Below are 11,922 nucleotides of genomic sequence, written 5' to 3' on the forward strand. Positions count from 1 at the left end.
GAGAAAGACTTAAGAACCTGTAACAATATTGAATCCACAATCAGATAATAGGAAAGTGTCTTTGGATATTAAAAATCTGACTACTAAAATTAAAAATTCAGCACAATGGTTGAATGATAGAATGGGTGTGGCTAAAGAAGGAATTAGTTATTGGAAACTTAGGTAGAGGAAATTTCCCAAAATATTAAACCAAAAGACAAAGAGATGTAAAGTATCAGAGAAAAATTGAGGCATGGAGAATCAACCCAGCTTCATGAAGTTATCAGTGCTCAGGCTCTTTTATCTTTCTGTTGCAACCATTTTCAAGATATGACTTCCATCCTCAGTTACCTCACAGCTCAAGGTAGCTCCTGGGGCTCCAGTCATCTTATCCAAGTTCCAAGTAGTCAAATAAAGGAAGTGAGAGGAAGAGTAAAATGGACACCTCTCCCAGTTTTGTCAGTTCTCCTTAAGGAGGCTTCCTAGAACTCCTACATAGTATTTATTTTAACTTAATTGGCTAGAACTTGATCAGGTGGCCACACTTGTCCAAAGAAAGACTAAAAAGTATTATGTTTATTCAAGGCAGTAGTGTACTCTGCTAAAAATTGAGGTTTAGTTCTTTAGGAAAAAGGGAAAACTGGACTTGGAATAAGCAATTAGCAGTCTCTTCCATAAATCCTGTTCTTAGGCAAACTGATATTCAAGGATGAGGGCAAACACATATTAATAAATTTTAGTATTCATGGACCCGCTCTAAAATACTCAAGGGCATACTAAAACTAAAAAGTAATATAATAAAGAGAAAGACATAACATAAAAGAAACAAGTGGTGTGTTGGTAAATGTTTAACAACCAACTCTGGGGGGAAAAGCTCTGATTTGTATCATGAAAATCACCCCCAACATGGCTGACATCAAGCTACCAGCATGATTTCACTGAACACAGAGTTGAAAAGAGATGCTAACAATTGGCTCTTGTGATAAAAAAAAAAAAACGGTTTTAAAAAAGCATGATAAGGAATAACAAAAGATGGGAAGGATAAGTTCAAATATATCAATAATTCCAATAAATGTGAACAAATTAAATTCCACTATTATTTTCAGATTGTGTTCAAATATTTAACATGTGCTGTTTGTAAGTGACACATACCTAAAATAAAATGATAAAGAAAGTTTGATGGCTAAGACTTGGGAAAAATACAAGAGAAATGCTATTTGGAATGGAATGAAAATAAAGGAACTATACATTAAAATCTTTGCTGGGTGGCTAAAACAGTACAGAAGAAAATGAAAGCTTTATGTGCTTATAAAAAACGTCCTGAAAATTAATGGAATAAGTATCCAACTCAAGATGTTAGGAGAATAATGGTAAAATACACCCAAGAAATGTAGATGGAAGGAATTCATAATGATATAAGCATTATTAAAATGGAAAATAAGCAAAAGTAGGGCTGACCAATAAAACTTAAAGTTAATTCATTATAAAGACCAACACAGGCCAGGTGTGGTGGATCACACCTATAATCCCAGCACTTTGGGAGGCTGAGGCAGGCAGATCACTTAAGCCTAGGAGTTCAAGACCAGCCTGGGCAACATGATGAAACCCTGTCTCTACAAAAAAGACAAAAATTAGCCAGGTGTGGTGGTGTGCACCTGTAGTCCCAGCTACTGGGGGGAGATACTGAGATGGGAGGATGGCTTGAGACCTGGAGTTCAAGGCTGCAGTGAGCCATTATTGCACCACTGCACTCCAGCCTGGGCGACAGAGCAAGACCTTACCTTAAAAAACAAACAAACAAACAAACAACACAATTAAAAAGAAAAGCTTTGGCAAATCTAATTAAGAAAAAAAAGATTCAAATAAGCAAACTTTGGAATAAAGAGGACATAATAGATATGAAAAAACTAAAGCATTTTCAGAGACCAGAATATACCTATATGTATAGTTGTGACTTGAAGTCATGTTTGCATTTTCCATATTCAAAAAGTGAAATCAAATCAGTAAGTTTGAGGAAACCCCTAAAATTGAATACAAATGGAGACACATTAATTATATGTCAAAGTGATAACATAACCAACCCAGAAATAAACAAAAATTAATCAGGTAATTTTTAATCATATACTCTCAATTTAAAGATAAAAATAAATAAATATTGAAAGATTCTTATTAGATTTGTTGTTAGTAGTGGTGTCAGTATAGCAACGCTGAAACTATTTTGTGTATGCTTATAGGATTGGGGAAATGAGTGATTATATTACATTAATGTTGTTGCAAGCCAGGGTTCTCACGGTGGGAGAAGGTACATCATTGGCATGGGAGAAGAGGAAGAATCCTATGGTGCTTGATTGGAATTAGAGATATCAGTATGAGCTCATCCTTAACTCTGTTCACTTAAAAGGTCTAGAAGTGTTAACATCCCCAAACCAATGAGCACAGCTAGTGCTAAGATCTTGTTTTCTAAATACCATTCTCCAATAAAAGAAACCAGAGCCTTTTGGAGAAATAGCTGGTTCTAGGGCTAGGCCAAGGGAAATATAAGATAAACTGGGAATATCTTGTGCTAAAAGGAAAGGCAGTGATTCAACACTGATGGGACATGCCTAAAGGACATAGGAGCCAGCTTGAAGGGTTTCTACAGCTGGATTGGGGACAATTTTACCATCAAAATGAAATCATAAAGGTAAAACATTTACACGTCAGACAGTTTTTGTGATATTGAAAACTTTAGTTTTTCATAAATCAAATTTATGGGTCCAAACTGATACTGAAAACCAAAGTCAGAAAAAAAACCAAATCAATACATTAAAAAAGGAAGGAGCAGCCAAAACTATTTTTTATAATAATAGAATGCTCACTAATAAATGTAGTGGGATGATAGAGTTTGAAGCCAATATTTTGCAATTAACGTAATAATACTTGATTTGGGCAAGACACCAAAACTATTGAGTACAAGAGTATTGAAAAGAATCAAAGGTATTTCCCACAGATTACTTACTATAAATCACAAAGGGGAAAAGGGCCTATTCATGGTGGAGAAGCCTGGTAGATACTACCTTAACCAAGTGATTAAAGCAAACATCCACAAAAAATGGGACAACCTGACATCATGTGCCTTCTGCTGTGGTGCACTGAGAAGGGCAAAGCATCACTTCTGTTATTCCTGCCCACAATGCAGCATCTGAATATGATCATAAGGAAACATCACACAAAGCCAAGCTGATGGTCATTCTACAATGTAACTGATTTGTTCTCTTCAAAAATGGCAATGTGATGAAAGATAAAGAAAGGCTGGGATAAAGATGAAGAAAGAGATAGGAAAACTAAATGCAATGCATGACCCTAACTTGGAGCCTAGATTAGAAAATGAAAATGCTGCAAAGAACTTAATCTGAATAATTGGTGAAATTAGAATTTGGGATATGCATTAGGTAATAGTATTTGATTGATGGTAAAGGTCCCAAATTTGATCATTTTCTTGTTACTATGTAAGAAAAATCTTTATTTTTAGTAGACATATGCTGAGGTACTTAGCCTTGAAGGGTCATTAACAACTGGTTACATGGTTTAGGAAAAACACAGTATATGTATATATTTATAAAGACGTGAAGCAAATGTGGAAAACTGTTACAAAATTATTTTTTCAAGACTACTCTTTACCACTTTGTGCCTATAAATTTTACAATCTAGGGATGAGTTTCTAGAAAAAAAAATAGATTTCCAAAGTTTACTCCAGGAATGCTTTAAAGTCTGAATAGATCTATTACCATAGGAGAAATTTAGAAAACATTTAATTCCTTTCTTACATAAACTGTACCAGAGCATAGGGAATAGAGGAAACATAAATGCAGGTCTCATCCCAGTGTAAGGAACCTACAGCGGTGTCCACTTTATGTGCAATAAACAGACAGCTGAGTGTAACAGACTGGGAGTCAGTGGACCAGGTTATGGTACTGACTCTGCCTCTCAGTGCAATGGGGATTTGAGCAAGTCACATAACTTCTCTGAGCTTCCATTTCATCCTGTGAAATGCTAGACCCTATAAAATGGGGCTGGTGCGGTTTGCTTTTCATAACTCACAGATCTGTAGTAGGAATCAAGTAAGCTAACACTGTAGGAAATGAAAAGCCTTGGACACATATAAGAAATACTAGTCAAGAATTCAGGGAAGTCCGTGTGCATCTTGGGACTTGACCTGTATTTGTAATTCCTTTTCAACAAATGTCTTCTGTTAAAAATAGTTACATTTTGTCTAGTTCGTAATATTGAAAAAGGCCAATGGTGGAATGTCCTAAACTTTTGTATGTCTGACATTCACTCTGCCTTGGAATAGTTTATGTAACCAAGGAATTGTCTCTTACTTAATGGGTTGGTGACTCACATGGATGTGTAAATATATAATTACTTCTCAGCTTTAATGACACTTCCAAAAAGCTCTCTCGACTCTCCTGGACCAGGAGAGGACCTCTCCCCATAGCATTTGGTACTTATTTGTCTCATTAACCATCTCCTCCCTGCTAGATATAAGCTCAACGAGGGCAACAGCTAGATCCACCTCGTTCATCACTGTCGCCTCAGTGCCTACATAGCAAGCACTCACTAAATATTTGTTGAAAGGCAGCTCTTATTCAAGAAAGATAAATGAATAAAAATCCTCACTGAAGGAAGAGTTGTATGTTTTAGCAAGTATTTTTGAGCATGTACGATGTGCAGTGCCCTTGGCTAAACAACATGGGGGCTACAGAGGTCATTCTGAGTCTTGCAGTTTCTGACAAGACCACTCAGATCCCAGACTGTCATTTTCTCCTCTCTGGAGGCTGGAAGTGACTGTTTGCAGAGTCACTCTGCCACCTTTTGGCTGTACGTAGGAATTGCACCTTTTCTGGCATTCCCCTCATCCGGAGAGGACCTGCAACTCGCTCTACAGACCTAGGGCAGCAGCATCATTCATTCATCCATTCCACAAACATCCACTGAATGCACACCTCATGCCAAGTTCTGTGCCAGGAGCTGGAGACATAGTGGTGGAAAAGCACACACAGTTCTTGCCCTCAAGGAGTTTACTGTCTGGTCTAGGGGAGAAAGAGGGCAATAAATGTGTAATTACATAAATAATAACTACAAGTGTGTTCAGTGCTGTGGAGGAGAAATACAAATTGCCATAAGAGTGTCTCATGTCTTTCCACTCCATTATCTTTTTGCAGCAAAAGCTCATGAAATGGGAGTACAATACATTTTGCCACCCTAACCAGAAGGGCAGGAAAATAAATGCTCAGGCTAAAAAGGGAGCACAGAACCATGATCAGATTGGCTGCAGTAATGCGTATGGCTTGGATTTTTTACAACACCCAGGCTTGCCTTTTGTCCAAACCCAGATGGCTATCCAAACTATTCCATTTGCCAAAAAAAATGAGAACTTCTAGTTTTCCTTAGTAGTAATAATAGCTGACATTTTTTGAGAGCTTACTTTGCGCCAGGCACTGTTAGGCATTTTAAATGCAGCAGCTAGCACAACCTTCATAATAATCCTATGATATAGGTAGTATTAGTGTTCCTGTAATGACGGTAATGGTGGGAAGCACAGGGTCTGGAGTAGGATTACCCACCTTTGAACCTGATTTGCCATCTACCAGATGTGTGACTGGGCAATTTACCTAAGTTCTTGGTACCTCTGTTTTTCCACCTCTAAAATGGAGATTATAAAAGTAATCTACTTTATAGGGTTGATGTGAGGAGTAAATGACAACACATGTAAGTAGTTAGAACAGTGCCTGGCATATATATGTGTATATTTATGTGTGTGTGTATACGGATGAGGGCATCTGAGCTTCAGTAACTCATCTAACCTCCCATATCTACTGAATGGTGCAGATGTTGAGAAGAGAGGCAATCTGATCCCTGAGCCTGGACTGCACACTCGTCCACTATGCTATCTTGAATACCCTGTTCCTGGGTACCTTCTGTTTCTCTGGCAACAGAAGTCTCAATTGACTCTGCACAGTCATATTCTGGAATCATTTTGCTGAGCCTTGGTCTTAGCTGAACATTGGCAAAAGTAGCTTTTCACAGGCACCTGCTATTTCTTTCCCCAGGGGAAGATCTTACAGGTACATTGTAGAAATAACCTCTCCTTTTGATATTGATGGAAGCTCTGGAACAGGGCAGCTTTCAGCAACGTTACTGTTTGCATGTGATGTCTTTGGAACATGATATAGTCATTGTGCAGAGAACAAGAGCCTTAAAGCCAACCAAATCTGGATCTAAATCTTAGCTCCACCATGTGACCTTGGACTAGGGTTTCCTTCTCTCTGATCCTTGGTTTCCTCATGTTGGAAGTAAAAGGAATAACCACTACCTCATAGAGTTGGCAAAAGAGAATAAAAGAGATTATATGTAATATTATTTATATATACACACACATACATGTATATGTAGATACACATATATACATGTTTATATATAAGTATATAATATATCTCAAAGGGTTAGGCACAGTACCTGAGTTGAGGCTTACAAATGCCAACTGTCTCCCATCAGGGGGTTAGTTATTGTGGTTATAAAAGGGTGAGGGGGCTGGGAAAAATCCAAATAGTAGGCAACCACAAAAAGCCAACACATGGGAAGAACAGAGGGAAAGGGGAAGAGAGGCGGAAGGGAGAGGTGAGTAATTTCATTCTGGGCTTGAGCCCAAACTTCAGGGTGAGGAATGTCTTCTTAGCAAACAGTCAACCCCGATCTGTGATTTACTGGAGCCCACAGTCTCCACACTAACAGCACCATCTGTGATGAATGCATTGATTTGGAGCTGCAGCCCTGGCTGCTGCTCCTGCCCCTCTGAGAGGAAGGTTAATGGCAGGGTTCAAGGAAAAAGCAGGTGGAATGTGTCTCCTTAGCCCACTCCTCCTCTTACCTTAATGAATGCTAACCCCAAAGTCTCTCTGTTCCTGGAGTTGAGGGCCACTTGCCTTGGAAGCCAAATTGAGGTAAATTGATATTTTTTGGATGCTTTCCTGATCACTTAGTTATATGGATAATTATCAGGGTGGGGCTGATTCTGGAGAAATCTTGCACTTTTCCCTGAGTCATGCTTTTACTGTTTAAGGCCTGATTAGGCTCCATGGCTGAGAACTCTGAGTGTGTTCGGAAGAGACTGGGTTTTGATAAACTGGATTGGAGCAAAACTCCTAATTTAGCCTAGAGGTTCAGGACTCAAGCTGCCCAATTTGGAAGGGTGCATATGGGAGTTCAAACAAGATAAAAGTTATGGAGAGCTGGTACTATACCAGATGCAGAGCTGGGAGCCAAGACAGCCAGCTTTTAAGATGTCTTAGAGGTGGGGTATCTGCAATGTTTGTTTTCTGAGGTTTGCTATAAATGAGCTGGAGGCTTCGGTTGTCACGGTAATGACAGAGGCTCCATTTTGAAGCTTCTAGGGGAAGCTTATCAAGTAAGCACAAGCCACTTCTCTGAGCAGGGAGTCAATGCCATGGTAGGAACATTTGTTGTAGCTCCTCTATGCAAACTGCACAGTCACAGAAACATGGCTTAGTGGTTTTCAAAATTGCCACTTGCATCTACAAGTGGAGCAGGTGAGAAGTTATCTCAAATGAACTCAATGTTGGCAATCAAGCATTTGTTGAATACCTTCTGTGTGCTGCACATTTCTGTCAGGCATTGTGAGGGATCCAGAAGAAGCTATGAACTGGCTTCTCCACTTCATCACCGAGCCTGTAAATGAAAGAAACTACCTTGTGTGAAACAACAACTTATGAAGAGTGAAGTGAAAAGCTAAGGAGCCCAGTGGCATTCAGAGGATGTGGTGGCTTTGAAATTGTGGGTGCTTAGAGCTTGGTAGTGTTGGCTAAATTGCAAGGCACAAGACAATGAGAAGACCACCTGACTGCAGCACAAGATCTGGATCAAGGAGACATGATGGTGGGGTAGGTAGTGTGAAGATGACCAGGTAGACCTCATAGTTGGGGCTGCGCTGCGGACTCTGGGTAATAGGCAGCAGGATAGATGGTAAAAAGGTTGTGTTAGGAAGAATTGGCCCTTTCCTTCTCTCTGACCTCATCTTGCACCACACTCCTGGTATTGAGGTAAATAATACTAGCTGCTAAAAGGATCTCTCCAAAATTCTCCATTGATGGCTCTACCCCACATACCCAGGGACCAGATGCCTTTTGTCTTGTGGCTTTGAAAACTCAAGGGGGACTGGACATGGTGGCTCATGCCTGTAATCCCAGCAATTTGGGAGGCCGAAGCAGGTGGATCACCTGAGGTCAGGATTCGAGGCCAGACTGGGCAACATGGTGAAATTCTGTCTCTACTAAAAATATAAAAATTAGTGAGGCGTGGTGGTGTGCACCTGTAATCCCAGCTATTCAGGAGGCTGAGGCAGGAGAATCACTTGAACCCTGGAGGCAGAGGTTGCAGTGAGTCGAGATCAAGCCACTGCACTATAGCCTGGGCAACAAGAGTGAGACTCTGTCTCAAAAAGAAAAAAAAGAAATCTCAAGGGGTTTGGAATTATCTATTGATTCTTTTGTAGCCAATAAGCAGATGAAAGAAGAGAGAATCACATGTCAGAGGGTTTTATAGGCCAGTCCTGGGAGTGGTGTATTTTGCCGTACCTACATTCCATTGGCCATAAGTCAGTCATATGACCACGTGTAATGGCAAGGATGTCTGGGAAATGGAATTTGGCTGGATGTCCAGTAAGAGGAGGCGGACACAGGTAGTGTTGAACACTCTCAATCTCTGCCACATGCCTCTATTTGCACTATGATTCAGTCTCACTGATTTTCTGAGAGTTCTTTCAGCATGCCAAGTTCCTCTTCCCCTCAGGGTTTTTACAATTGCTGTGCCTGTGCTTTTTATAAAGAGCACCCTATGACTGGCTGATGAAAAGTCACCACCTCAGAAACGCTTTTCCTGATCATTCACAGGAAGAATCTCACTCTATCACATTTTAATCCTGTATCTTCTTCATAGCACTGCCAAAGCAGGTACAATATTTCTTGAAATTACTTTGTTTATTGTCTGTTTCCTCTTGTTTGAATGTAGCTCCAGGAAATCAAGGACATCGTGAATCTTGTTCACTGCTATATTTTCAGTATCTAGGACAGTTCCTAGCTTGTGATAGTTGATAAAAAAAATCAGTTAAAGGAATAGAAAAAAAAGAAAGAAATTGTCCAGCAGCAGAATGTACTTGAGAGAGGGCACAGTAAGGCTGGAGGCAGGTGGATCCCCTGGTATGCTAGTCAGTTGCAGGAATAATAGTTAACACTCTTTTTTTGAGATAAAGTCTCTCTCTGTCACCCAGGCTGGAGTGCAGTGGTGTGATCTCGGCTCTCTGCAACCTCCACCTCCTGGGTTCAAGCGATTCTCCTGTCTCAGCCTCCTGAGTAGCTGGTATACTCCTGAGTAGCTGAGATTCAGCGTCCTGAGTAGCTGAGTAACAGGTATGCGCCACCACACCCGGCTAACTTTTTTTTTTTTTTTGTAATTTTAGTAGAGAAGGGGTTTTGCCATGTTGGCCAGACTGGTCTTGAACTCCTGGACTCAAGTGATCCACTTGCCTCAGCCTACCAAAGTGCTCTGATTATAGGTGTGAGTCACCATGCCCAGCCCAGTAGTTAACACTTATATAGCATTTACTATGAATCTGATAATGTTTAAGCACTTTATGTTATATACATTACCTCATTAAATTCTCACAACAATCCTATGAAACTGACACAGTTATTATTTCCATTTTACAAGTGAAAAAATTAAGGCCCAAAGAAGTTAACTTTCCAAGGTTACACAGCTACTAGGTGGTACAGGTAAAATTTAAGCCCAGGGATATCTGGCCCAAGATCCATGCTCTTAAGCCATTACACTATACTCCCCGTTACCTTGTGGGGCTGGTAGGAGCCTGGCTCAGGGTAGAGATGGGGGAAATGCAGACAGAACTGGAGAAATGAGCAAGACTTGGGGATCTGACATGTTTATCTGAGACTTGGTTTCCTATTTTGGTTAGGAAGGGAGAGAAGTCCCTGATCATAAATGTGTCCGCAGATGCTCTACAGGTCCTTTTCAGCTAGGTATGGAAGGTACTCTAGTGCTCCTCCACTCCCTAACCCCAAAACTAGCTCACTTCTCTCTGTCTCTTCAGAAGGATGTTCTCGGACCCAGGGAGGGAAATGAGGACAGAGGCAGGAATGAGTTTTCAATTGGAGCATCATGAAAATGAAGCAGAACATTGTATTTCAGAAGAAGAGAACACCCATCAATCCAAAAGAGTTGATTTAATAAAAGTTGAATCATCTACAGTTGCCTCCCTGAAGCAGTAACAAAACGAAATTAATGCAAAAATGGAAATTCTTCTGATTGTCAGTGGAACATCATGAGCAGTGAGGAAATGTGTGATGCGGAGGTCTCAGATAAAAACCACTGTGACTGTTGAACTCTAGTGGAGAAATGAAATCACCCCTGCTGGCTCCTCCTCTGCTCAACCTCTAACTGCTGAAGTGTCTTGGGACTTAGTGCTGATCCTTTTTTTTCTCTGTCATCACTCTTGCCTTCTCCCTGGGTTATCCCATCTAGCCCCCTGGCTTCAATTACCATCTGTATGCTGATAACACCATAATTTATATCTCTAGTCCAGACTCCTTGCAGGAGCTCCACACTCCTTGGTGTACCTGCTCATTTGACATGTCAACTTGTCTAAAAAGCATCTCAAACTTAAAAAGATAAAAACAGAATTTTTTGACTTTGGTATCCTCCCCTCCAAAGCTGCACCTTCCTTAGTCTTTCCCATCTCAGCAAATGGCATCACAGTGCATACGTTTCCTTCAGACCTCCAATCCGTGAGTTGCCCTTGATCTTTCTATTTCCCTCATTCTCCTACCCCTAATTCATATCCAAACTACCATCAAATCCTGCCAGCTCTATCTTCAAAGTCTGTCTGGAATCAGCTCCATCTCCTCCTTGTTGTTTGTTGCCATCCTAATTCAAACCTATATCATCCCTTGCCTAGATGACAACAGCCTAAACTTGTCTCACTGCCTCCACTCTTGGAACAGTTAGTTATCCCTTTTTGCTGTTGTTTTATAAAATATTTTTGGAGTGATCTTTTAAAAATGTGACTCAGTGAGCCCTGTGGCAGTGTTTTAGTACAAACTCATGTTTAGTTTAATATAGATACAGATGGATAGACATATAAATATTTATAGATATGTATACACATGTGGGTTAGTTCACACAAATCATGTATTTCCTAGCTGTGTTAGCTGAGAGGGCCTAGAGGCAATGACACCTTGCTGGCAATTAGAACACTTAGCACACAAATCTTGGTCTGTAATATCATTCTCCAACAAAAGGAGCCAGGGTCCTTAGAGAAATGGCTGATTCTAGGACTGGGGAAGGAAAAACACAAGGTGAGCATACAGCATCTTGTAGTGGCAGAGAGTAAGATAGTGCTCAAAAACAAAAGGATAGGGGTATATCAAAGGAATGTAGGAGCCAACCAGAAAGAGCTCCCACCAGCCAAAACTAGAACAAATTGAACAATAAAATAAATAATGTAGTATTTGGATTATTACACAAAGTATGATATCAATATCCATGAGTTTGTACTAATATAAATAAATGTTTGAATAAAGAGATAAATGAGGAATGATGGGCAAATCTTCCTTACAGGAGAATTCCAAATAATAGATGTGGCTATTCCCCTTTCCAGGAGATGCAGCTTAGTTCCCTTTCCCCCATCTCCTTGAAGGTAGGGTAAACTTAGTGCCCTGCTTCTAAAGCATAAAATATGAAGAAGGAAAGAGTAAATTTATAGTGGAGAAACCAGGCAAGCGCTACCTGAACTAAGTGATGAAGGTTAACATCTCCAGTAATGGCATGTGGCTACCTATCATGAACCCCTGATATGATATGATAAGAAGGACAAAT

General features: G+C 40.1%; 1 annotated feature.

The window, feature by feature from the left end:
- Window positions 4,758-4,927: a silencer, noted in NCBI's record as "silent region_21034". NCBI's record gives its function as "represses an Ori minimal core promoter by ATAC-STARR-seq in GM12878 lymphoblastoid cells {active_cell/tissue: GM12878}" and the evidence as "EXISTENCE:reporter gene assay evidence [ECO:0000049][PMID:35858748]".

This window comes from Homo sapiens, chromosome X (assembly GCF_000001405.40).
Source record: "Homo sapiens chromosome X, GRCh38.p14 Primary Assembly".
In the NCBI taxonomy this organism is placed as follows: Eukaryota; Metazoa; Chordata; class Mammalia; order Primates; family Hominidae; genus Homo; species Homo sapiens.